Source organism: Homo sapiens, chromosome 11, assembly GCF_000001405.40.
Source record: "Homo sapiens chromosome 11, GRCh38.p14 Primary Assembly".
NCBI lineage: Eukaryota > Metazoa > Chordata > Mammalia > Primates > Hominidae > Homo > Homo sapiens.
This window is the reverse complement of record NC_000011.10, coordinates 115,916,426-115,943,371: the sequence shown is the minus strand read 5'-3', so window position 1 is coordinate 115,943,371 and position 26,946 is coordinate 115,916,426. Positions and strand designations below refer to the sequence as shown.

The 26,946-nt window shown below is 45.7% G+C and overlaps 1 long non-coding RNA gene across 8 annotated transcripts, besides 5 other annotated features; it reads right to left on the bottom strand.

The window, feature by feature from the left end:
- Positions 1-33: 33 nt before the first annotated feature.
- Positions 34-23,736, bottom strand: LINC02703 (long intergenic non-protein coding RNA 2703). 8 transcript variants are annotated; one of them, NR_187258.1, is made up of 7 exons: positions 23,061-23,736; positions 19,520-19,744; positions 10,409-10,589; positions 9,022-9,244; positions 1,645-1,814; positions 985-1,119; positions 34-461 (listed from the first exon to the last, which is right to left on the bottom strand). It is a non-coding gene; the product is annotated as a long intergenic non-protein coding RNA 2703 (long non-coding RNA). The 8 variants fall into 8 exon arrangements; NR_187264.1 differs by lacking the exons at positions 34-461; positions 985-1,119; positions 1,645-1,814; positions 9,022-9,244; positions 10,409-10,589 and adding exons at positions 13,853-14,125; positions 21,359-21,430 and having other exon boundaries at positions 19,520-19,604; positions 19,682-19,744; positions 23,711-23,736; NR_187259.1 differs by lacking the exons at positions 34-461; positions 985-1,119; positions 1,645-1,814; positions 9,022-9,244; positions 10,409-10,589 and adding an exon at positions 13,853-14,125 and having other exon boundaries at positions 19,520-19,604; positions 19,682-19,744.
- Positions 851-2,050: an enhancer, noted in NCBI's record as "P300/CBP strongly-dependent group 1 enhancer chr11:115812040-115813239 (GRCh37/hg19 assembly coordinates)". NCBI's record gives its function as "activates an origin of replication core promoter dependent on BRD2, BRD4, P300/CBP, MED14 and CDK7 cofactors, with strong dependence on P300/CBP, by STARR-seq in HCT116 cells {active_cell/tissue: HCT116}" and the evidence as "EXISTENCE:reporter gene assay evidence [ECO:0000049][PMID:35650434]".
- Positions 13,639-13,778: an enhancer, noted in NCBI's record as "active region_5549". NCBI's record gives its function as "activates an Ori minimal core promoter by ATAC-STARR-seq in GM12878 lymphoblastoid cells {active_cell/tissue: GM12878}" and the evidence as "EXISTENCE:reporter gene assay evidence [ECO:0000049][PMID:35858748]".
- Positions 14,949-14,998: an enhancer, noted in NCBI's record as "active region_5548". NCBI's record gives its function as "activates an Ori minimal core promoter by ATAC-STARR-seq in GM12878 lymphoblastoid cells {active_cell/tissue: GM12878}" and the evidence as "EXISTENCE:reporter gene assay evidence [ECO:0000049][PMID:35858748]".
- Positions 18,075-18,354: an enhancer, noted in NCBI's record as "active region_5547". NCBI's record gives its function as "activates an Ori minimal core promoter by ATAC-STARR-seq in GM12878 lymphoblastoid cells {active_cell/tissue: GM12878}" and the evidence as "EXISTENCE:reporter gene assay evidence [ECO:0000049][PMID:35858748]".
- Positions 23,891-24,040: an enhancer, noted in NCBI's record as "active region_5546". NCBI's record gives its function as "activates an Ori minimal core promoter by ATAC-STARR-seq in GM12878 lymphoblastoid cells {active_cell/tissue: GM12878}" and the evidence as "EXISTENCE:reporter gene assay evidence [ECO:0000049][PMID:35858748]".

Below are 26,946 nucleotides of genomic sequence, written 5' to 3'. Positions count from 1 at the left end.
TGTGTGTATATATATATGTACATGCACACATTAACCCCCTTTCCTCTCTTTTCACCAGAAGATGGTGGATTATGGATCATCTGCAGGCCATGTTATTACCCCCTGCAGACTAGTCAGAGAGAATCAGATCAAGTGATAGAATAGACTTAATCGTCATCATTTTCATCCTAAGTACTTAACATCCTGGCTTGCAGGACCTCTGTATTTACTGTGGAGGGGTGTGTACATGTGTCGCCATTTTAAAGATGGCAAGAGTGAGGCCTGAAACATAAAGTAATTTCCATAGGCTGAGCAGTTTGTAAGGGTGGGAATCGAACCTGATGCTCTTGACTCTCTGTTCCAGCACTCTACACTGGTCCAAGCTGTTTCCAAACACACTGGAGACAGTAAACATTTAGGGTTCTCTGGTCTTCTTGCCTCCATCTTTGATCATTTCTGTTGTTTTGGAGAGCTGAAGGCATCTGTAAGGAACCAAATCTTATAAACTCGGTGCCTAAGTTGTGCCCCCGAGATGCTGTAACTTACAGGTAACAGCGTTGAATTGAAACTAATAGCCCAGCATGGCTCACTGCAGTGTTCTGAACTTACCTACAGATTCGCTGTGGTGTTACTTATGGATATGACAGATTTAGTGTAGCTCAGCTTAATAAAATAGCATTTATGGGAATATCTGTGCAATTAGAGCACACTTCAGCCAACGTGGCATCATACACATTCCCCTCTACTTGGGACACTGTTCTTTGGAGACTGACGTGAGCCCTGGGCAGTTGAAGAGCATTTGGGATACAGGGAAGACACCCTAAAAAGGATTAGGAGAAACTTCCCAGCTTTTAGGAGATAATTCTCCTTCATGCCCTATTCCACTTTTGATGGAATATCTCCATCACAAGTGCCTGTGTTGTATCAGGGTGTTCTAGTTCCTGAGCAGTCTCTGGAGACAAGTAGGTACAGTTGAACTTAGCCAAGCAAACACTCATTTTTCACCTCTGTGATCCTACACATGTTTCTCCACCTCCCTGGGCCTCCCTTTTCTCATCTGTAGAATCTGGGAGTTGGGTTAATAATCTCCAAAAGGCTAGAATTAGAAGTCTATTTCTTCGGGGTTGTTCACTCCACAATCTAGGATGAAAGCAAAGCGTTCAGTCAGCATGACTTGGGGGAATCATCTCTGCATTTCACAGCTCTGAACTCCACCTAACCCCTGTCTGCCTCCCACTCCCACTAGCAGATATTACCTAGAACTGCCTGAAGTCACTGAGTTCCCAGACACAGAATGTAATAGGAGTGGGATTGTGCCCTCCAAGTCTTGTCTTTCTTGAAAATGTCTATGGTAGTTTTCTATTGGGTCTCCATAAAATGGTCATGAGGCTAAAATTATTATTGAGGCAAATAGTTGATGGATTATTTGACTCCACTGAGTAACTTGCCAGATGGTTTTAGAGCTGTGTAGACATAGTCTCGGTCAAAACTGTTGAAAGCATTTGTGTAGGCAAGCCCAGCCTCAGTTAGTGTCACAGTGACCAGCTGGGAAGTGAAAAATGTAACCAAACAATGGACTGCTTTCTTTTCATCAAGCCAAATAACCAGTTTTACTGATTTTCTTTTCCCACTGACTTAATTGTTTTTGCAACTGATGTGACTCACTTCACAGATTGTTTCCAATCATGCGGGCGCAGCCCGAGTTGCAGAGCGTTGTGGTTACTGTTCCTTCCACCCTAGTGAGGTGGGAGTCGAGAAGTCCGGTGACTCACCACAGGCTACCAGCCATGTGATGGCGCTTCATCACGTTGTCCTTCTGTGTGCCCAGCACTTTGCTGCGGACATGGAAATAAACAGATGCTATGAGATAGCAACACACACACACACACGCACGCACGCACGCACGCACACACACTATATCAAGAAAGTATGGTCAAGATGCCGTAAAACTCAAAGGGCTAGGCATCTTGAAACTTTGTAAATAGCCATTAACCCAGGACAAATTGGGCCCATTAATAAAGAAAAATGCCAATTTCATTGATTTGCCTGTCTTACAGTTCACTTGCTTCTCTTCTCGGTGTGACAAGCTCCACCTCCGATCATCCTGCACTCTCTAACAGAGAGACTAGAAACTAGCACTGGCCTGAATCAGCTCTGTGGAGCCCAAACCGGAATGCATCTGATCCAACTTTGTGGAATGGGGTAGGAGTGTAGTTGGGAGCTTAATTGAGCAGATAAACTGGTCAGTAAGTCACAGAAGCCGTAGCTAAAGGGGTCATCAGTGCAAGGAGCACCTGAAATGGTTATAGGGTGTGAGAGTCTGTAAGCGCCAAGACTTAGGAGAGGATGAATATAAGGAACCAAATGCTGAAATGGGTGAGCAAAAGTCCTACAGTGGGTCCTACAGAATGCCCGAGACAGGCAGCTGTTGATGGTGGCTAGTTTCCTACCAGCTCCTGGGCCTCTGGCTGAGGGCAAGCTAGTCCTGAGATATCAGAGTAGAGACATGGCACTATCATTTTGCAAAATGCTTTCTATCAAATTGTTTCTACTAAAGCTAAATATACCCATGCCCTATGATTCTGGCAATTTCACTGTTAACTATATAGAAATACATGTGTATAACCACTAAACAACCCGTTAAAGTGATTAGAACAGCATTATTCATATAACCCCAATCCAGAAACAGCCCAAATGTTTCTCAACACTGGAAGTGATAATTGCGATTTACTTAGAAGTAGGATAATATGCAGCAATGAAAAAGAACAAACGGTTGCTTACAAACATATTATTAAGCAAAAAGAGGTAGATACAACATAATGTACTGTGTATGCATCCATTTATATAAAGTTCCAAAACAGTCAAAATGAATCTATGGTGACTGAAGTCAAGTGATCACTTTTGGAGACAAAGGTAGAAGTTAGTGGCTGGAATGGGGTCCAACGGAGTGCTGGGAATTTTCTATTTCTTGATGTGGGTGGGAGTTATGCTGGCGTATTTACTTTTTGTATATACTGTAATCACATACAAATATTAATATTAATAAAAATTTTAGGCAGGTTATAAAAAGGGGGACAGGCAAAATAGACACTGGGGTATAAAAGTCCTCTGTCACCAGGTGCATTTCTCATGGGAATAAGCATGACTTCACTGACCTATTATGTAGATTTCGTCTTGCCTGGTGTCTGAGGGTGTTCAGTCTGTGTCGTCATGTCAGAACTTAGCTGAAAAACTGAAGACTGAGGGGAGAACAATCTGATGTCCATGCCCTTCACCTAGAGAGGAATGCCCAGAAAGGGGTGGTTGTGGCAGGGAAGGTGAAAGTGCAAGTGCGTGCTCGGGAGAGTAGGGAGAGTATAAAGGGGTATGGAAGCAGGGGAAGGCAGGGACCACTGGCTTTTCACATCTGGACTCTGAAACCACCATCTGATGCAACACTTCTCAGAAGCACCCATGCTAATCACCACCAGCTGACACCCCCAGCCACATCTGCACCACCCCAGCTAATCACTGCCCACAATTGCCTACACCTGTCTTCCCCTCCTGCCCGCCCCTGCCACCTGCCTGCCTGCCACTTTCAGTCCTCACGCTAAATCAATAACAAAGTCCTCTGAGGGCTGCCTAGCTTCTCTGTTGATGCCCCCTCCCCTTAAACCCACTTCCCCTCCTCCCCTCTCCAAGCCTGATCCATCTGCCCAAGCTCAGATCTGCTTCAACAGGACTGGCAGGGTGGCTCTGGTTGCAGACAGCATGGCTCTCCCTGTCCTTAGCAGCTGCCGAAGCTGCAGTTTAAGAATCGCCATGTCTGGAGAAAGTCCATTAAAAGACAGTAGCAATGTATATTGTGCAGTGACCTTCTGGGCATCCAATTCTACCTTGTTAATGATCTCTTTGAAATAGCCAAGGCTGTGGAGGGAGATGTGGTTCCAGAGGTCCCCAGGACTGTGTTGTTAGGACACAGCTGCATTTGCTATGTTTGGGCAACACTCAGGAATCACTCTCCTGCTAATGGGGGCAGGTCCTCAGAGACCCACTCAGCCAATTAAAATACTCTTCAGGAATGTGCTGAATGTCCAGCCACTGGGCAGATCTGTGAATGTTTATCCTGGCAAGGAGAAAGCTAAAGATGTAGCCATCTATTCCATGTGGAGGAGCGAATGTTCCAACGGTGAGTCTCATAGCTGTTTCTCTCCTTAGTCAGGACACTCGGGTGAAAGTGACATATTCCGAACACACCCACTGCCTTAACAGAGGTGATACACAATCCCCTGTTATCCAGCTGTGACTCTACCACCACCCTCCCACTCAAGAAAGCAAACTGAAATGCAAGTAAAGCAAGAGAGACGTTACAATAAGCACTCTTTCGAATTTTCTCTATTTACAAAATCACCTTCTCAGATGTGATGTTTTATTATTGGTAACAAATTACTTGCAGTGTACCTCAAAACAGATGAGGCAAACCAGTGTGTTTTGACAAGTAAGCTAAGAACTGTTGCTAGAGAATACGGAAACCATCAGCTAACCACACTATAAGAAATACGTTGGTGGCAGGATATAAGGAAGAACTTCCAGGTAGTAAGACTTGAGCATTTAATAATAGCTCAGCAAACATTTAATGAGTGCCTGCTTGGTGCCAGGCTCTTTCCTAGGCTTGGGGCATGATTGCTTATTGCAAGAGTAACTGGAATCTGAATATCTTTAACAAAAATGTAGAAAATCATTTAAGGCAGAGATTTGACAGAAAATGGCCTGGGTTGAAGACATTCCCAAGATATTTAATTCCCATTTCCTTCCATTCCTCTCCAAGCTCTTAGGGATGATTTCAGGGCTATAGTCAGGTCTGGGCTATAGAGTATGAGAGTCTAAGAAGCAGCTCTATCATGTGGTTCATAGTCTCACCTGCCTGTACCTGGTCACGAGTTCTGTGAATTCATGGGCTTTGGAGAGGGTGTGAGAAAATGGCTCTTAAACGTGATCTCTCTGTGGAGGAAGGATGCCAGTGCCCTGACCACCATGGCCTTACTAATGGGAACAGTGTTGTCAAGGGTCCTAAATTGGAAGTTAAAAGACATAGATTCTAGCCCCACTAGAGCATAATAATTTTAGGAAGATATTAAGGGTCCAAGGCCTCAGATATCCACCCAACAACAAGGGGCTTCAAGCCACGATGTTGAAGTACATTGCTGTTAAAACACAGATGCCTGGAAGCTGGAGAATACCATTACCCTAACTCTCCATGGGGAAATCTGACACTGTACCATTCTATTCCGTCCTCACATGTTATGACAAAGTTCTGTCCATTATTTTTAAACCATGAGCATACCTCCAAGCCCACTACCCTTCTGTGATACAGTCTCTGAACTTTCCAAACTCCCACTCCCTCACATTTAATCATCCAGTTATTCTCCCATTCCAGAACTCTCCTTAATCTCCCAGATTAAGGAGAGGAGCATGTCCTTTCTGGCCTCATTTGTCTCCCTGAGACTGTGCCCCTGGCCAGTCATTTCACCTGCCCTCAGCCAGTCTGGAAGTTCCCACTCTCCTGACCAATGAGTCCCTTGGTGCCAGAACCCAAACACAGCCCAGGTTCAACCTGCTGCCCTAGCAAACACTGCAGGAGAAAAAAAGTCATGGGCCCACCCACAATCCATAAGGTGAGCTGGGCTACCATCTCTTCGGGAACCATTTCCTTAGCTTTAACTGACCTCCCCATCAGAGTTCTTCCAAACCATCCTCATTTTCCTCAGTCTCTCCAATCTGCTGCTATCCCACACCCTTACTGTGTGAGTTGGCTAGGGCTGCTGTAACAAATACTAGACTGAGTGCCTTAAGCAACAGAAATTTACTTCCTCACAGTTCTAGAGGCTAGAAGTCCAAGATCAAGGTGTTGGCAGAGCTCGTTTCTTCCAAGGGCTCTCTCTTTGTCTAACAGATGGCTGCCTTCTCCTAATGCATGTCTGTGTCCTAATGTCCTCTTCTTATAGGGAGTCCTATTAGATTAAAGCTCACTCACTCATATGCCCTATTTTACGTCAATTTCCTTGTTAAAGGCTCTGTCTCCAAATACAGTCACATTCTGAAGTACTGGGGGTTAGGACTTCAACATATAAATTTGGCAGGGGAGGGATGCAATGTAGCCCATACTACGTACCCTTAAATGACAACCTTGCTTTCTGTTTATTGGAAGACAAGAGCCATCTGATTTACCTTCCCCAGTTGCCCTGCTCTTTGCTCCAATGATTCCCAAATTTTCAGATGGCCTTTCTTTTCCCCTCTCAGCTCCAAGTTAGTTTGAGTAATAGCTTTTCTGGAAAGCTTTACTTAGCCCTTGGAGCAGAGTAAAACATTTCTTCCTCTGCAGTGTCATTGTATTTTGCTTCCAAAATAAAGAAAACTAAGCTCTCTGGAAGGCCTACTATGTGCTCATCACTGTGCTGGGCACATTAGCACAATGTTCTTGTGTGATTATTGTAGCAACCCAGGAGAGTGGTGGTTAAAGCTAAGAAAACTGAAGCCCTGGGAATTTACCTTCTCCTGAGTCTCTCAGTAGGTATGTGGGCAGAGGCACTATTCAAAATACCACAAATGTTTCTATCCTAAAATCTAACAATTTTCTAGTGATTCTTTCTACCTCCTTCTCTCCTAGAGGGGAGTGGCCATAACTTGCCCTTTCTTTATGCAAAGTGCCCTGCCACAGAGGAACCTAGCCCATGCCCCTTGAATGGGTGAATGAATGAATCTTCTTTATTAAAACTAAATTTAGGAAAGTCATGTTCTTGATCCCTTCTCCTCTGAGTCCTTCTCCAGACATTTTCCCCACCATCTTGCATCTTTAACATCTTCCTTCCCACTGACTAATTCTCTCCACCTTGGATACATCTTCTCTATTTCTCTTTTACTCTTAATACTTCTCCATGCCTTGATACCTCAAGCTATCGGACTATCACTTTACCTCTCTTTCCCCTCAATATAATTGAGAGAGAAGCCCTTCTCTCTGGAGATGCTACTTCAGATGGTCTATTGTGAGATGTTGGTATTTTTTAAAGCCACCCAAAGAGCCAGGTTTAGGGACCTCCAATCCATGCTCTGGGCCTCCACTTCCTTACCTCATTGACACTTGCAACTGGCTTTCACTGTCACCAACAAAATCGCTCTTGCAAGGTTTTCAAAGACTTTCTAAATGCCACATCCTCCTTGGGCCTCTGCAGCATTCATCTCAGATGGTCACTCTCAGGATCCCTTCACTTTTACCACAACCATCTCTCTGCCCTTCTTATTCTCCGTCTACTGCATTAGTTGCTTGTTCTCTTCCCACCTACCAGATGGAAAATTCTCCAAGGTCTGATTTTCTTCCCTTCTCTCTTTTTTCTCCATATTCTTTCCCCTAGACAATTGTATTTACTTCCCTAATTTCAATTACCTTGTCCGTGTAGATGATTTAGAAATAAATATCTCAAACCCCAGCATCTCTCTAGAGTTCTGGACTCAATTACCTTTGTTTTTGGAAGAGCTCCACCTGTATGTCTGTCCTGGGTTCTCCCAAAAGCAAAACTTGAGGCAAGAAATGAGTGCAGGTAGTTCATATGGGAGGTGATCCCAGCATGTAACAGTGATTGAGCAGGGAGAATTAGTCAGGAGCAGGAAGCACTGATGTGAGAAACATCATCAGGATCAGTGCTGTGGGCAATGGAGCCTCCATTCCACTGGGACCTCCTGAGAAGTTGACAGATGCTTTCAATTGTTCTTCTGAAGGACTGAAGGTTCAGCATTGATCCCATTCTCCATTAGCTGGGAGTCTCCCAGGGCATTATCTCCCCTACACTCAAGCTATTCTGTGGTCAGTCCAAGCAATCTCCTAGGTTTTGAAGAGGGTCCTAGTGCACAATGTGGAAAGAAGCACAGAAAGCCCGCAAGGTGGGATGCAGGTCAAGAGCTGGGTGAGTCTGAGGCCTTGTGGGACTCTCCACTACAGCTGTGCTGCAGACAGAGGTGGATCAAAGGGAGATTGACACCATCAGCATCCTTTCTCCAAAGTCAGCTCAACCAAATATTAAAGCACAAAGCTGCAATGACTTCTGACTCTTCACCCCTCATCTTAGTGTGTAGTTATTAGAACCATGTCCTATTTATTCCAATCAGACTTGCTCTCCAGCATTGTCCCCTCATGGATTTCTCATGATTGCCTCAGCACGAGCTTTTAATTGCCATCTTCTGGACTCGTATCTATTAACTTTTATCTCTACTGTCTATCTTGCCCCCTTCCAAACTACCTTACACATAGATGCAAGATTATTCTTCCCAAAGATGTTTAAGCATCATAAACTGCTAAGAAATCTTCCATGGTTCCCAATGGATGGCCAAAATGTGTCTAACATTCTTAACCTGGCATCTGATACCCTCTTTGTTCTGCCACTGTTTCATCAGGGCAAAAGTGTTATTCTTATTACCCACCTACCTGTGTTTTCTCTCCAGGACTTTTGACTTCTTTAACTACACTACTCTAATTTATTTTTGCATTTACATCTTTATTCTCTCCTTTCCCCCTGCAAATAATTTTCTAGATGGCCCCATGCACTGAAACCATTCTAATCTCACCTGTCCTTTTAGGCCTATGTGTGTACAATATTTATCTCCTCTATGAAACCCAAATACACTTCTACTTCCTTTTCCCTGAACTCCAAATGCTTAATCTCTTCTTATCTTTTCTTCATTTATTATTATTATTAGCAACATGGTTGCGTTTGATTTGCCTTTTTCCTAGGTAGAGTGTGGCTGGGTCCTTGAGGGTAGGGGTGATAGCTGCATCATCTTTGAGTCTTCTGTGGTATCAAGCACAGTGTCATGCACAGTAAATGAAGGGAAAAAAGAAGGCAGGAAAGGAGGAAGAGAAGGAGGAGTAAATCTGATATCACACTGAGAAACAAGCTTCACAGAAGAACAAATGCTAGGAGCCAAGTAAGGGCCAGCATATGCTAACCAACTCACCCCTCCAACAGACTCCCACCTCCTTGAAAAGGACTTTATTGTTGCTCATTATCTCACCTGCCCTTGCTGCTGAGCGCCCACCTGGAGTCAAGCGCCTTCTGCCTGAGACAGCTGTTTCTGATGTCTGGGTAAAGATTGTGTAGACTTCAGCTGGGGAGAACTGGCAGGAGGAAGGATACCCTTTCTCAGTTACAGATGGCAGAGGTGAAAAATACATAAAGAAAACATGCCAACTGTTTCCAAACCACCCTTAGGTGTGTCAGCACAATGTCCACAACAACTAGGTGAAATGAAAAAAGATATAAGTCAAACATGGTTTTCACTACATAATGTCCAATACTTGGTATCACTAAAGTTGTAGCTACCCCAGACTGTCAGATTGCCTGAATTAGCCAGTATGTTCTTTACTATATATACATATAGAGAGAGAGATGGGTTTTAACCAAATCACCAGTGTCTTCCAGCACCATAGCAGGATCAATTGCTATCCGTAAGTCTTCAGATATCCCAAATGACTGGTTGATTTGGTCAAACATGAGGCTGGACTCACCCATCAATGACATGACCAACTCACCTGTGACTTTGGCTTGGTGCCGAGTCAGCCTCTGTCACAGACTAGCCACACTTAATTAAATCAGCAGTCAGAAAGATTCCATTGCTTCTCAGTTCCCTGGCCCCACGAATGGCAGAAGGCCAGAAATAGGGCCTGTGGGATTATGCATGAGCGACAGCAAATCACAGCCACCTTTTTCCTCCTTGCCTCATGTTCCCATTAGAATAGAGACAGACTTTGATTTTTATTCCCTCAACATGCTTTGCTTAAAAACCAACTGGCCATAGGAAACACTAGAAAGGAGATGGGTATTATCTTCAGGATTTCCTATTTCCCCTCTTGTATCACCTTTCTTCATTTTGGAGAAATCACCCATTCCAGTCTCCTATCCCTGAAAGCAGTGTCACCTACTCTAATGTTAATTTTACAATCATACCTCTCACTCCTTTCCCGATCCTCTTTTCCTTCCATCCAAACTACCTACTGTGTATTATCATGCATCCATCCTTTCATTTATCCATTTAGAAGATAGATACTGAGCACCTATTACGTGCTCAGATAATGCCCCATTGTGTTGGAGCTGATATGCACATAGTAATATGCTCCTTTTGAATATAATACCTTAATATAAAAGAGTGACCCAAGGGGTTGGTATTACAGGCACTATGGCAGACCCAGAGATTGAGAGTCACTATATGAGGACAGATGGGACTTTAATGACTTTCTGAAATCAAAAAAGCAGTTGATCTGTCCTCTGCTCCTTCTTTCTTTGGTTAGAAGCCTGCCATTTCTTTCCCTTGCCATTCAAACAGGACTTTGTGTAACATGAAAAGGATGAAGGTTCCCATTCTCAAGGACATTATGATTGATGGAATTCCTTGACTTACTCACCGTTATAAACTCGAATGAAGGACAGGACCATACAGAAAGTGGATTGTTCTCTTCTTCCCCTTCCAGGAAAAGCAAAAAGTACAGTGCTGCCCAGGCCAGCAGTCTCAGCCATAGCATCTGTTCATGGTGTCCTATCTGTCTTGGAACCCAACGAGTCCACCATGTGATTGATGGTGTTCCACTTGATAGGGAACGGAACAAGCAATGATTTGTCATTCACCATAAAGTACTGCTATTTCATCTGCTCCCATTCCCCGGGATGCAGCTCTGGCTGTTTGCTCTATGCATCAATTTATAGTTTATCCTAAGACTAATGATGTTGTGTTTACAAGGCAAGGTGGGGCTTTGTTTTTGTGTTCTACCAGCAGAGGATTACATTACTGATTGATCGCACACGGTTGTCTGAGGCAAAAACATTTTGAATTGATACCTGGATTTGAACTACAATCAACTTCCTCGACAATTGCCTCTTGGTGCTGAATAGATCAAGGAACTGCAGCTTTCTAATAGGGCCTCAAGGAGATTTTGACAATCCCTGTTAGAAGTGAACAGTTTGTTGAGGTGTATGGGAGGCAAATAGATCATCCAAAGGGCTGGCCTGTGGCTTTCAGGAGCCCGAGGACATGCTCTAAGACCCCACTATTCCAAACAGCTGAAACAGGCAGGAGCAGCCGTTTGCTGGTATATGTTGAACAATCAGTTCTCCTAAGGGGGGTGGAGGTGAGAATACACCTAATTTGTAGCATTACCAATTTCTCTGGTGTAAATATTCCTACCATGGCCAATTTCAAGCTACCAACGTGATGTCACTGAACACAAATTTGGGAAGGGAGGCATAACATTGGCTCTCATGAGCTGGTACTAGGTAGCTCCAACACACTACTCAACAAGGACTAGTATTTATTTATTATATACAGTCCTGTTCTAGGAAATTTTTTTTCTGATGAGAAAATTAGGGTCCAGAGAAGGTATGCAAGTTACCCAAGATCACACAGTGATAAAGTTGAGTCTTCTCATGCAGTAGCTACACTCTTTTTGTTATCTCCTGTAGTCCAGAGTGTAGAACTAGCAGGTGGTAGGGCCAGCTGGTTAACCCCGGGGTCTGATTTCAAGGCCTATCTATGCTCCTTCTGTACACCATGTTGCTGCCTCAAAGAATGGTAGGATTCAGGCTGTCCACTTTTGTCTACACTTCTGCCATTTAAGCCTGGTCAGTTCTGCTCTTGCCCAACTTGCTTTGATGGGGAAATTCAAGTCTGCCTCTGTACTCATCTGCTAATTTCTCTCAGCCCCAGTAACTCTAAGGAAAAGGATATAAGTTTTCATGGTGACTCCTGCCTAGAATCTGGAAAGAGACAAGATGACCCCTAGGAGATCCCAATCATAACAGTCCAAGAAGCCAATTCAACAACCAATTTACCTGGAAATCTAAATGACTTCCCCCTTGGATTTGTTTTCACCCCTTTTAATTTTCTACCCACTGTCTTTGCAAGTTCATTTCCTTCCTGAAATTCTGAAGCAAATGAGGCAGTGCTGGTAGGGGGGTGAGCACAGGGCTGGGGCAGTGACCTGCCCTGTGCTCTGTCTGGCAGACTCTGGTGCAGTGCAAAACAGCAGGGCATTAATGGCTATTAATATCCACAGAGGAAGTGCTGAAAGGCCAACCACATAATTACCATTTATTCATCATATCAACTGGTCTTCAGCTCCTTCCGGTGGCATGTCATATTGTCCTGGAGTGGGGAGTTTGGGGGGAAGCGGGGAATAAAGAGGAGGATCAGCAGCCCCTTCCCCATCACCCTCCCTCCCCTGCTGTGATGGGAATGGGGGTCAGAACGCAGGGCACTGTGGCTCTCTGAGCACAGAGGTAAACAGGAAGCTCTGGGCACAATCTGGGTGGTAGAGAGCAGTGGTCAAGGAGGGCAGCTGCCAACCAAGGGCAGCAATGCCAGGCTGTTCTACTATCTCCTTTCTTAAGAATTGAGCTCCACAGCTGCAAAGGAAGGCTGTGTGGAGCAAGCAGAGAGGGGATGAGACCAGAGACTCTGTCTGCAATTCTCAGCTCCTGAGAAGTGAGTGGATTTTGGACTGCTCATGAGTCCAAGTAATTTCCTGAGGATGCGTAAAAAGGAGGTTATCCAGCCACCCTTTCTGGCACTTGCATTTCGGGTTCCTGGGGCACCCTGCTCCTTAATCCCATCCCCTGAGAATGGAGTACTTTGGTTTCTGGGGACTCCAAATCTGGACAGGGATGGTGGGGAAGAGATTAGTGTTGTGTTTTTTCTTTCCCCCTGGTACCAGCTTGACTGGCAGCCTGGGCAAAGAAGAGCCCATTCTAAATGCTCCCCGGGGTCCAGAATGGAACTCATTACATCAAACCTGCTGGTAGCCAGCAGCTCTGCTTTGTGAGCTGTGAAACAAATGTTTATCCACCACTCAGTGTGGTTCAAAGCTATTTAAGGAGCTCAGGGTGTTGAGCTGCAGGCAAGAGCTATGTGTGCAAGGCCAGCCCTGGCACCGAGTGCAGTGGGCAGATGTGGGGACTGCAGCCTCCAGGCTCTCCAGCTGCAGGACTCAGCTGAGAGCAGAGCAGTCAGAATGAAATGGCCACTTTCTCCTCATTGCATTTTGTCTTTCATCTCCAGCCCCTTCCTGTCCTTTCTCCCATTTCCCTTTCACTTGCCTTCCACGTTTTTATCTTTTCTCTCTCTCTCTCTCTCCCCCCCCTTCGATTTTTTCTTCCTCTCTATGCCTTTCTTTCTTTTCTTTAGCCTTTCTTCATTCCCCTTTATTCTTTCATTTTCCACTTCTCTTCCCTCAGATAGGCCTGTGGCTCCCTCATTATACTGTAATATGCATTATTCTCTGTCTCAGTGATGTAATCCACAAAATGCATGGAAGAATAAAATAAAGCTAAAGTCTTTACCCGCACAAAACCACATCTAAGGAAAAGCTGGCACAGTGTGAACCTAATGTGTACTTAGGGAAGGGAGAGAGGTCAGCAACAGAGCATGCCCAGTGTAAGTTCCAGGAGCTTTTCTGGAATGACATAAGGTGCTGATAATTCCCTGTCTATACATGCCAGTGCCTCCACGCAGTAGCATCATGTGCAGTGTTTTTGTTTTTTAAAGAGCTGTGAAGATCACCAGTTATAAGTGAGAAAGCTGCGATCCGCGACACTGGTTTCCAGAGTTTGGTGGAGGTGGCTATTGAACTTGTGTATGAGTCACTTCTGTTTTAAGACAAGAGGTATTTGTGAGGATACCCAGAGAGTGCAGATGAATGAGGGAAAGTGAGGTGGCAGTCACTACCAAGGGCTCGACATCTACATTTTCAGTGATTCCTCATTGAAATGATTCCTCATTCCTTACTTTACAACTATTGTAAAGTAAGTGTTATGTTCTGACTATCTACTACTGCATAACAAACCACCCAAACAGTAGCTTAAAGCAATAACTATCTTTTATTTTGCTCTTAAATCTTGGAGTTGCCTGAGCTTGGCTAGGCAGTTCTGACTTGGGAGGGTCTGTCTCATAGTTGTAGCCAGGGAGTAGTTGGGACTGAATTTATCCTTAAAGCTTCTTCAGTACATGTCTGGAGCTTGGGCTGCAAAGACAAAGACAGCTAGGGCTCTTGGGCATCTCACTTGTTGTCTGATGTCTCTCCAGGGTAGCCAGGGATCTCACGCAGCAGCAGAAGGCTCCCAAAGCAGGTATCCTGAGAGAAACCAGCAGAAGCCAAAGGCCTTTCCTAAGCCACCCTTGGAAATTTCATAGCATTCTGTTCACTGCATCCTAATTCTTGAAGTCTGTCACACAGTTTATCTAGGACTTTCAAGGGGAGGAGACCTAGATTTTGCCTTTTGATGGAGGAGTATCAAAGAGTTTGCAGACAGGTTTTAAAACCACCACATGTTGTTAAGCTGTTTTTTTACCACCCAAGGTTCAGGTAGTTATCCAGCCCTGCTGTGAAGTATTGCAGTGGTTAAACACAGATGTTGTAGCCAGACTGCTGGGCTCAAGTACCATATTCGTCGTGTATGAGCACTGTGATGTTGGGCAAGTCACTTAATACTTTGAGAATCAGTTTTCTTGTCTGTTCAATGGTGATAATATTCCTGACTCACAAGATTGTTGTAAAGATTAAATTAATAGCTATTAAGTACTTAAAATAGAGTCTTACATCTTGTTGGCATTCTACAAGTATTTGCTATTATTATTTTTATTAGATTCCCGTTTTATAGATGAGAAAGCTGAGATGCAGAGAGAGAGAATACTGATTGGCCTCCGTCACATAACTGGGATTCGAAAACAGTCCCAACAGATTCGAAAAATCCTCTCTGAGTTCCTGATAGCAGCACCTCTTCCCTCCTATACAGAACTGCTCCCAACATTAAAATCCCTGTAAGTCTAGAATTTGGAATTTATAGGCCCCCAGGCCTTGGAAGAAGGTCCCCCAGGAGCTAAACTCTGGACTTATGACCCACCTTCACCCTAACCATTTAAGTCCAGCCACAAAGAACATGGATGGGGAAAGCAAGGTCCCTACTCTGGCCTTTTATGCACATTTTTGACCCTTAGGGGTTAAAAGGGTAGAGATGTAAGAGGAGATGGCCCAAAAATAAAGAAACAGTACCTAATGACATTTGCAGGCAAAGGAAACAATACTGGATCTGACTTCGAAAGGCAGTTTTTTGAGATGTTAAGTTTTGGTTCCTGTCTCTGTAAAGAGAACTGTACTGTGTACCACATGGTTTTTACCAGGACCATGTGAGAGCCTAAGGGTGAAAGCACCTGGTAAACCACTGGGTCCTGGCCACCAGTCAGTCATGAATTGAGCCCAGCAGAGAGCAAGGTGATAGCCTTGGGCAACTGCCATGCTTAAGCTGGGACATGGTCAGAGCAGCCCTGATGTGGGGAGAGGGCTGTCCTTTGGGCTGTCGCAGCCTGGGCTGGTATCCAGTCATGGTTTCAGATTGCCCATGGGCCTCTTTGACAGGCATGCACGCCTGAACTTTCGAAAACACACAGAAGTGAATGCATGCAGTCTGCACACTGAAACGTGTCTCCGACGTGCATCTACACATGCACAAACACACACACTGTCTTTGTCTGATGTCCACCGCATGCAGAGGCACTTCAGATAAACACCTGTTGCCTCCTAGGCCAAAATGAGGGCATGGATGCCCCCACCCTACCCTCTGAGAGCCCAGCATTGCCTGAGGTCCCTGAGGCCCCTGTGGGAGGACAGACCATCTTCTTTCAGCTTCTCGAAAGCACAGCTTCTTCTCAGCATCCACTGCCATGCAGCCTCCAGCCCACACAACCACAGGAGCCCAGCTCCTGGGTACCCTGCCATGTACTTAAACAGCCTCTTCTTGATCCCTTGTAATCTCCTGGCTTTTCCTCCTCTCTTCCTTTTTCTGCTTCTTCAGCTCCTCTTTTTCATCCTCTGCCACTGACTCTCCATGGAAGCCTCCATAAGGCATTCAAGCCCCTCCCCAAGGCCTGAGGCGGGAGCCCCTCTTTGTCCCCATGGAAGGGGGCAAGGGAGGAAAGGAGGTGGGGAGAGGGTCTCTGGAGTCTGGGGCACAAGCAAACATCTGAGCTGAAGGAGCGTCCTTCTTCCCAATTCCAAATCCTGAGATGATAAACTGAAACACCAGAAAGCACAAAGCACAGTAGTTTAAAGGCAGCAACGTGGAGGGGGTGGCCTGACCTGGCTCCCTATCCTCACATAGGAGGACGGCCAGAGTGGGTGGGGCTCCCAGGCACACACCCAGAGTGCTGCCTGTTCTCCACCAGGAGGAAGATTTGTTTCTCCCTAAGTGAGACTCTGGTCCCTCTAGAAGGCACAAAGCTTAGGCTTTGCCATGGGGTGGGAATGTGGGGAGTGGGCTGGATAGAGAGCTGATGATGTCCCTGTCCACAGAGGCATATGCATAGCCCACAGCTGCAAGATCCTGCCTGGGGGAGCCTGAAGCCCACCACCGAGTAACATTTCAGGGTTTTCAAATCAAGTCAATCCTATGGGTTAGCTAGGGCGAGGACCACCACGCCATTTGTTAGATAAGGAAAATGAGACATAGGACTCAGAAGATTCACTACAAAGTCTTGCACCGTGAGGTGGGGGGTGAATGACCATTGACTCATCACCAAACTACTCTCTACACTAACTCTTCATGGCAATTCCTTGAGCTCTTCTCCTTTTCATCCTGGGAAGTCTGCTGGTCAAGGGGCTCAGCCCATAGCTCCTAGGGGTAGAAGAGGGGATCACACTTGGTTCTTGGCTCTTCCTGAGGCCATGCCTGCAAGCCATTTTCAAGGCTCTGTTGACTTTAGCATTAATGAAATGAGCTCTTCCATCCAGGGCATATGTGTTAGTTTGTTCTCACACTGCTATAAAGACATACCAAGACTGGGTAATTTATAAAGGAAAGAGGTTTAATTGACTCACAGTTCGGTATGGCTGAGGAGGCCTCAGGAAACTCACAATCATGGCAGAAGGGGAAGGGGAAGCAAGCACTTTTTTTCACCAGGTGACAGGACAGAGAAGAGCAAAGGAGGAACTTCCAAACACTTATAAAACCATCAGATCTCATGAGAACTCATTGACTCTCACGAGAACAGTGTAGGGGGAAACTGTCCCCATGATCCAATCACCTCCCTCCCTCAACACTTGGGGATTACAATTCGAGATGAGATTTGGGTGGCGACACAGAACCAAACCATGTCAGCATGTGTTTTCTTTCCACCAAGTGCTTTGCATTCACTATCCACGTGGTCCTACCACATTTTTGTGGAATTGGTTCTATTATTATTGCTTTACTTACTATTACTACTATTTCTACAATGCTTCAATAAAAGAAGGCTCATTGAGTTTTGGGAAACTCCTCAGAGTCCTAAGAGAAGTATGTGGCTGAGTTGGGCATTGAATGATGGCCCAAAGAGGAGGAACCCCTGCACACCCAACCCAACACACACACACACACGTTGTTGTTCATGTACTTTGGTCACTCCTTGGCTTACAAGCCAATAGAACTCTCTTTGGATTTCCAGAATTTTAGAAGCTGAATTTTGCCCACAGTTGAGTCACGGCCAGCTCCCATGAAGCCACATCATTCAGGTCATGGGGTTTGAAAGGCCAGGAAAAGCCACCAGTAGCCACCATCCTGCCCCTACAGCACATTCTGCACATGCACACACACACACACATCCAACACATATTTGCTCTGGACAGGTAGAAAGGCTCTTAGCTCTCTGCTGTCTTTTTCTGTTCTGGGGAATTTGGGCCTAATGAAATGGATACATAAGGAAGACCAGAGTGTGGGGTAAGAGTAGAAACCTGTGGGAAAACGATATGCCATTTCAGCTTGGGCTTTCCTAGGAATAGCTGGTAGGGGCTTTGGATGTGAATGTGAATCATGTTTCTACTGCTCAGAACCCACTGTGGTCCCTGCAGCAGTCTCCAGAAGTTGGCTTTAAGTCTCCTGAGCTCCCCTCTCATGTGCTTAAACTGTGGAAACTCTTTTAACCTCAGAGAATAGAGGGAATTCCCCCTTATAAGGTCCCTGGCAGATGGTTATCCAGTCCCTGTTTAAACCCTTCTAGTAACGGGGCTTTCCCTGCCTCATTTCTGAACTATGTATGAGTAGGCATATGCTACTCTCATAATCCTGGCCAATGGTTCTACAGTCCCTGTTTAAACCCTTCTAGTAATGGGGCTTTCCCTGCCTCATATCTGACCTATGTATGAGTAGGCATGCATGATGAATGGCTACCGGCTGTTTCTCTGAACTTCTCATCCTGAGACACAAAGGGAATCCCCTCCAAAGTTCCCCCTGTCCAAAATTCTCTCCCAGCAGCCTCAGTTATGAGACATCCCACCAAGACACAGTTATAGCTCCACAAGGCTACCTCAGTGTGCAAGGGAAGGACTGGAGAGTGAGGAGAAAGAAGAGAGGGGAGGGGAAGGAAGAGGAAGCAAACCCGCCTCCCTGCCCCTCGATGTCTTTTGCAGCTGGAAAATGTTGGGGGTGTGGAGGGTGGGAGGTTCTGCCACAGAAGGAGGTTTTGAAGCCTCACGTGATAATAAGAAAAGATGGATCATCTCCAAGTAGATCACCCCTGCCCACAGGTTCTTCTGGAGAGTGGTACAGTGCAGTGGCTGAGTGTGGGCTTGGGAATCACATGACGCTGGCTTGGAGATCCAGCCTTGCAGCTTACTTAGTTCTATAAATTCTCTGAACCTCAATTGACTTCTTTGAAACATAGAAATAATAATACTACATTATACAGTCATTGAGGATTAAATAAGATAATTAATGTAAAGTGCCAGGCACAGGCTTGGAACATAGAAGGTGCTCCATACATAGTAATTATTATTATTAAGCCCAGAAAGCTCTGTCATTCAGGAATAAAAGACTAAAAATAATGATAATAGCTACGTGCCGTGGCTTACACCTGTAATCCCAGCACTTTGGGAGGCTGAGGCAGGAGGATCACTTGAGGCTGGGAGTTCAGGATCAGTTTGGGAAACATGGTGAGAGCCTGTCTCTATAAAAAATAAAAAAATTAGCTGGGGGTGGTGGCATATGCCTGTGGTCCCAGCTATTCAAGAGGCTGATGTGGGAAGATCACTTGACCAGGGAAGGTCAAGGCTGCAGTTAGGTATGATTGTGCCACTGCACTCCAGCCTTGGCAATAGAGCAAGACTGTGTCTCAAGTAATAATAATTAATACTACTAATAATAGCAGCTAACATTTACAAGATGTTTATGATGTACCAAGTATTCTTCTAAGAATTGTATCTGTTAACTAATTCTAATTCTAACAACAACCTTGTGAGGCTGCTACTATTATTTCTCTCATTTTACATATGGAAAAGCTGAGGTGTAGAGAGCTTTAAAAAACCTGCTCAACTCTATACAACGGGTAGAAGGGTACGGTGGGCACTACGTACAGCTGGGCAACGTTGGAAAATCCCTTCCTCTCTCTGGGTCTTAGTGACTACTTCTGTAAAGTGGGGAAATTGATCTATTAATATTTCCTGGGTTATCATGAGTATTAACTAAAATTGTGGATAAAAATGGTCAAGCATAATGTCTGGTACCTGGTAGGTGCTCAAATAAATGTGGATGTCCCTTTCAGGGGGCCATCTCTTCTTTTTCACCTTCTGGCCACTCTTTATCCATTTCCTGCTGGAATAGAATGCTGTAAGCAGAGAGACACTGCCTTGCAAGGACTTGGAAAGACATGAGACAAGAATCCTCACCCGATCATGAACATAATGAGGGGCAGTGTGCAGGTCCGAGATGAGGCCCGGCATGCTTCATTCCTAATTGAGAGAAAGGGAAGGCTTTTATAGTTCAGAGGGCTAGGGAGGCAGGGGGATGGACTAAATGACCCCACAAAGCCCATTCCCTCCTTACTCTGTTCAAAGTGGCACTTTTTCTTCTCCCCACCCCCGCCCCAATCCCCACCGTGCAGGCAGCTCTATTTTATCCATGCTGGACCGGCCCTCACTGCATTCTCACCTTTGCTGGAAATAAGGAATAAATAAATACAAGGTTCCTGAAACTGTCTCTCTGAAGTTTAAGACAATACAGTGCAGGCCCCCTTCACCTGCCCAGAAACCCGAGTTCTTGTCTCTCCTTGCCCCCTCCTACTCCTGCTGCTGTCTTCAGCACACATTAAGATTCCTCTCCAAGGGCTGCTGTAAAGGCAGGATGGCAGGGGCGGTGATATAATAACGGACAGCAGGACCCCTGGGCAGGAGATTCTGATAGCTGGTTCACTAAGAAAAGCTCACAGAGAAAGCAGGGGAAGCCAATGCTTTTCCACCAGCCAGAGCCCGGCTAATTGCCACCGGGGAGAAGGGCAGAGTTCACGCAGGTAACAGGTGTGCCTTGTCTTAATGAAGACTGACTTGTTTGCCCAGAGCTGCCTGCGGAGGTAAGAGGAGCAGGAGGAGGGACGTGTGCTGCTTGGCTCCACGCTGGACTCCACCAAATTAGAGGAGCTGGTTTTGTCCCCTTTATGACCCACCCTGGGGTTGGACATATGGGAAGAAGGGGAGATAAATAGTATCCCCAAAATGGTGCTCGCCTAAGAGAATGGTGGCAACTTGATTATTTGTGGGTGGTGTATTCACTTTGCAAGATATCTCTGGCCTTGTTACTGTCCAGAAAAATTCAATTAGGAGATAGCAAGGACAGCGATGGGACAAGGGAGGGGAGAAATGAGGAGAGGGCAGGGCAAGAGGGAGAGACCATGAGTGTGCTGTGGGAAGGGAGAGGTGGAAGAAGAGAGCTGGGGCACACACAGCTCTGAATGCAATTCAACAACAAGTATTTATTAATTGTCTATTATTTGCCTGGCACTTTACTGGGCACTGGGGACATGGGGAAGAATAAGCACAGTCCCTGCCCTAAATCTGACAGGGGATGCTGCCATGTAAACAGACATTGCAGCACACTATGAGGTGCTGTAGTAGAGGCTATCGCTGCATGTACAGGGAGAAGAGGCATAAAAATGGAGAGGAAGTCAGGAGGAGTTAAAAAAAAAAAGCCACATAGAGATCAGAGGACACTTTAGAGGAAACCATGAGGATGAATTTGAGTTCACCTGGTGGGGCAGTATAGGGGCAAAGGAGGTTGAAGGGAGGACATTCCAAGAATAAAAAATCAAAGGAGCAAATGGGCACAGTATATTCAAGGCAGAGTGGGTAGTCCCTGGGGAGAGAGAAGGGAGCAGAGAGATGCCTCTGCAGAAGTCTCCTGGGACCAGAACATGAAGAACATGAACAATACCCCAAGGAGTAGGGCTTTTGTCTAGGAGACACCCAGGGTTATCAAGCAGCAGTTTTGGGTGCTCCTCTCTTATAGAATTACGCTCTCTCTCCTCTACGGCCACAGACAATCAAGGGTGGGCAGCAGTAAGTGGGGCTTACAAGGGGCTATTCATCTTTCTTCAGCAGACTTTTGAGCACCTCTCCTTCTTCTTTCCATCTCAGCCTCACATCCTTCCAGTAAGAGACAAAATGATTTCAGATCAGGGCACAACAGATGGAGGCACAAAAACACAGAAAGATTGGGGGCTTGCCCAGGGGTGCTCAGTGTCTGCTCTGGGTCCAGCTGCCCTGTCCCACTCCTGACTCAATTACTCCATCATCCAGATTTAACTGATGAAAACCATTAATCACTGAACTGGTCAAGGTCGAAAGGATGAAATCCTGGAATGACCAACCAGCAACCAAAACCATGCACATCCTGGATACCTTGCCTAAAGCTCAGCACAACAATGCAAAGCGTGTATCAGTTTCCCATGAGAAAACTAAAGCTCGCAGAGATTATGTAACTTACTCATCATCACAGAGCTAGTGAGAGACTGAGTTGGGATTGGAAGCCAGGTATAGTTGACACAATGGCCTGTTTTCTGTTTACCATCACTTATCAGAACAGTAAGAGTTAGGGGAAAGACGGGATGGAGACTGGGTGGAGATGGCATCCAGAATTGATCCAGTGCCAAGGACTAGAATCTTGTTAATTCCACTCTATGATGTGTTAGAAACAAGGGGGTGGGAGAGGACAACATAGTTGTGTTAGTTTTGTGTTGCCATTTTTTTTTTAAATCTCTGAGATGTCCCAAAATGTTGACTTTGTAAATTTGTTCAGTGAGGAGGTGGGTAAACACAAGCATTCGGAATGTGAACAGCATCATCCAGCCAGAACGCCCAGCAGGTTTGCAGAGGTAGATGTAAAACACTACAAACAGCATGCGGGAGCAACCAGCTCTCCCTGAGAGGGAAGTATAGCCTCAGCATGGAACTGGAAGCCCCCTAGAAGGCCATGGCATGCTGAGAGGGAGGAGAGGCACTCTGCCAGGCCTTCCAGCTATCCCTCGGGGCCCTCTCTTCAGGAGGGCAAGGCCGTACAGTTCACAGCACACCCATTTCAAGCCTCAGTGAGTTCAGTGAAATGCCATTTCCCCAGGTCAGCATTTTACATTACACCAGCCCAGTATCCCTGCTTGACTGCAAAGCATTAACTAGGGCCCTGCCTCAATCAAACATGCTGCCATGGTGTGACAGGATGCATTCTGTGTAACGACAGGCAGAATGTCAGAGACCTGGGGAGGAAAGCTTGCAATCTGTCCAACAGTGCAACGGGAAGCTCAGGAGTTACTGAGCACCTCGTCATTGGAAGCATCCAAGAAGACATTGGATAGGCATCTACATTGCATAGTGTACTGGAGTCACATTTGGTCTGAACTGGAATTCTGGCTCTACCATTTATTGGCTCAATTTCCTGCAGCCTCAGTTTACCCATTGGAAATGGGGGGAAATAAGGGTATCTATCTCACAGGGTTGTTGTGAGGAGAAGATCATGCATAAAAATGGCTTAGCACAGTGCTCCATAAATGAGAGAGACAATGATGAAGGTGAAGGTGCTGGCGATGGCGGTGGTGAGTATATAAAGAGGAAGAGGAGAGTGAACACATTCTTGACTCTGAAGGGAGTTTAATGAGGAGCAGTTGCAATGGGGCACTCTGTAGAACTTGCCATTTTGACAGCCCTGCTTCCATGTGGAGAGCTAAATAGAGGAGGCTCTGGGAAAGTTATCCCACAATAAAACCCACCCAGCCCTTCCTACCTTCGTTGTGAGTCAGACACATTCTCCCATGCCTAACCCTGCCTATGTTCTCTCCCAGAACTCTGGACAGAGAGATACAATTCAGCCAATTAGAGCACTGCTTAATTGCTAGCATTTTGCAAACCACTGCCTTATTGGCTAGAAGGGCAATAATATCAAAAAGACCTCCTGGTGACTTCACAGTTGGGAAAAATAGATGCTCCTAAGTCATCCCTTCTACCCTCCTCTAAGTAACAAACACCTTTCTCCCCTGGGGAAATTTCTTCTTTCATTTGCTGTAAAGTGACTTCTGCTGAAGTGTGTGTTTTTGAAGTGGAAAATTGAAAGCACATGATTCATTCCAAAAGCAAACTGTTAGTTCACAGCTGAGAAATCACTTTGCTATTGGTCCAAAGAGTTGCTTCTCAGGTTTGAGGGGGGCAAATTTGTAACTCCACTTTCACCCTCTCCGACTACAGAACCACTCCATTGACAGACCAAGAGCCAGAGAAATGAAGATCGAAATAGCACCTTTATTCCTGATAATGTTAAATTAGAGGGGGTGGCTTGTGTCAGACCAGAATGACCTGCTACTCTACCCCTGAGCTGATCTGATCCCCCAAAACTTCAGGCTTCCCCAGTCGGGGCAGAGCCAGCCCCACGAATCTTACCACATGGCTGACAGCAGAGCTTGTGTGTTCTCCCAGGGCAGGCATATACCAAAAGAGAGGGAGAGGGAGGGGAAGAGAGTGAGTCATACATAAACTCAAGTGACAAATCACTCCTAGCTGGGTCAAAAAGGGAGTAGAGAGGGGCCAAGTGTGTGGGGTCAGGGAAGTCCCTCTATATGAAAACTAGAGAAGGAAGGGGATAAAAATTCCCCAGATTTTTGTTATCTTAACCAGCTGGGCTTAATGTTTAACCCCTGGACAACCAGGTATGTGGTCATCTGGCTCCAGGAGGGGATGAGCTAACTATCTGAGCAGGAGGTCGCTCCCCCAGCATCAACTTCTGTTCCTTCCTGTGCCTTCCTGGGACCATCCTAAGACACTGTTGATTTCACTTCCATAAGCCTCTGAGATGAGCCAGAACAGTGTGTTAATAAAATCCAGTCCAAGGCTATGTTGTGTCTAAGACTGCAAGTTCAGAGCCTGTTCTATTTCCAATCCAAATTGATGTCCAGCCACATGGACCACTAACCTCATCAGAGGTTCTGTAATGAGGTTTAATAGCAGAGTGAAGATACTTCAATAATAAAATGCATAAAGAGCTAATAAAAAATGCATAAAGATTTCTTCAATAATAAATGGGAAAATAAGATGTCCCAAATTTGGATATAAACCCTTCCCATTATCAAATTCCTAGGGAAAAATTTAGAGATTAAAATCCCAAAGAGATTAAAGTCCAAAATCAAAGTATTTAGCCCTTGCGAATTAAAGCCCAAAGAAAGTCCAAATTGCCCAAGTTACATTTAAGTTTAAAGCAGTGGAGATCCTCCCCAGTTCCCTACTCTGCTCAGTCTCAGGCAGCAGCACTCTTGGTGTCTGAGCAGAGGGAGGAACTCCGTGAGCAGCTGGATCCTGAGTTGGCTTCCACTGGGGTGTATGTGTGTACCTCCTCAGAACCTCAGAAATGAGATCATTCAACTCCAAGCCTCTCATGCACTCCCTTTTTTAACAGCCCAAATAATTAATAGCACATTAAAGCTTATCAAAGCTCTCTCCTGACACCAATAAAATTTAGAAAACCAGGCATTCTGAAGCCCCTACAGCAGTTGTCCCAGGCAAAATTATGTGCCCAGCCCCAGTGCTCAGTTTTGCCAGAGACCATAGCAGAGCATCCTGGTACCTGAGGGAAGCAGGAAGCCAGAGATGGTCCCGGTCCAGCCCTAACAGGTTCCCATCAGTGCCTGCCAGTATCCCAGAGTCCATGACCTTTACCCATCAATCACAGGGTTATTCCTGGCACTGTTTTATTAATGCCCTGTTTCTCCCTCCATGGAGAACACCACCATATCCCCACATGCCTGGACTCTCCTCTGCTGGAATTGGCCTCTCCCTGCTGGCACCTCCCAGGCCAGGGCTCAGCACCTGAAATGGCAGAATATTGGCTGCTCCAGCAAGGAGCCAGACTGGGATGGAAATTTCAAAGGAAATATCCAGAAACTGGTTTCACAGCTCAAAACCCTCACTCTTGTCAAGGGTATTAAAAAAATAAGTGTGTGGGAGGTTGACAGGAAGGTATTTGTGAAGAGGGCTTCTTTAGAGACAGGTGAGCTGTGAGTTCCACCTCCCTAAGGGGAGAGGCAGGTGTAACTGTACCTTATCTCCAGTCTGCTAGGGGGTCTTCAATGGGACCACTCAGACAGCAGAGTGTATGTCCCCTGTAGTGTGGGAGAATGAGTGCCTGACATGTGACCTTCACCTGTAAAATCTGGGTGACAGAAGGGAGGAAAGCAGAGGAGGTGGCACATGGGTGAGTTGCTCTCCCAGTATCTGCTCAGGCAAAGATGCCTAAGTGTTTCCTAGGGTTTTCATATGGGCTTTGCAAGCAAGAGAGCTGGGATGGTACAAAGTTAGGCCCTGCCCACTGGGCCGCATGCAGGAACAATGGGACCTCTGCCGATACAAGCTGACCATTCAACCCCTGCCCTGTTGCAGGCACTGGCTGGGGAGAGAGAAACCAGCTATAACTTTGTATGAAGTTGGAAGCTTTGACCATTACATGGGATCAGGCATTCTAAATATGAGTTCAATCTAGATATGATTTCAGGTATCATTGAACATTTTATTTCCCCCAAAATATTCCTAAAGGTCATGGATCTTTCCATGTACATATTTGGGGTTAGTAGAACTTTCCTCCTTAAGTAAATGTAAATAGTGGGAAATCAAGAAAGTTGCTTTGTGATTTCATTTCAAGCTTTTTCAAAGAACAGGTCACAGTGGCATAGCACTCTTACAGATTCTTCTTTACTTAACTTGCAGCATGGTTATCTGTGGACACATCTCATCTCTGGCCAGTAGACTGTAAGCTTCTTGTAGACAGGTGTCTTCTTTATCGATTACAACTCCTTTCTGAATGTTTGGAACATGGCATGTATTCAGTAAATATCTGAGGATAAAACGAAAACAGAAAGGAAGGGAGGATGGGAGAGACAGAGAGAGTGACAGAGAGAGAGAGAGAGAGAGAGAGAGAGAAATGAGAGAGTCAGAGCATCCGTGAGACTCTTGTGCAGCAAAGATCAGTTCATCAATAGAACCAGAGTACTATGGGGCTAGAAATTGATGGGCATCTTCCCCACATGCTGCCATGTATTTTTTGTCTTTGAAGCTTTTGCCACAGATTACCCTCTGGTCCAGAACTGCACATAGCCACTCACTGCTGGCCATTAGTCACAGGTCAGATGAGCAGAAATGCTGCTGGGCTAGTCTAGAGATTGCTGGCTAGGAGTCCAGAGTTCCTGGTACTGGGTCTGGGCATTCATGCCCGGAACTCTTCATTGCCTCATCTAGTAAGTGGGGATGGCAATGTCTCCTCTGCTAAGCGGTCAGGGTTATTATGTAGAGTATTTGGAAAGAGCAGGTTTCAAAAGTGATTGCCAGGTGCTGGCACCTGCCCCAGATTTCAGCTGCCCTTTGAGAGGCTGTCATAACCCACATAGGCTGGGCCCTGGGGGCTTCCCTCTCAGGCTGGGATCAGAACACTACAATGTAGACAGCTTAGGAGATCCTGGGCCGGGCCCTTCCTCTCTTCATGACTGCAGCCCTCCCCATTTCGCCTGCTCTCCTGAGGACTAAAGGGTTAATGAGTAGGAAAATAAGAGAGATTTTAGTGCCTGCTCTGTCTTTGCAATGCTGCCTTTTCCCTCTTTGACACTTTGCCTTCACAGTCCATTCTATAAAACGGG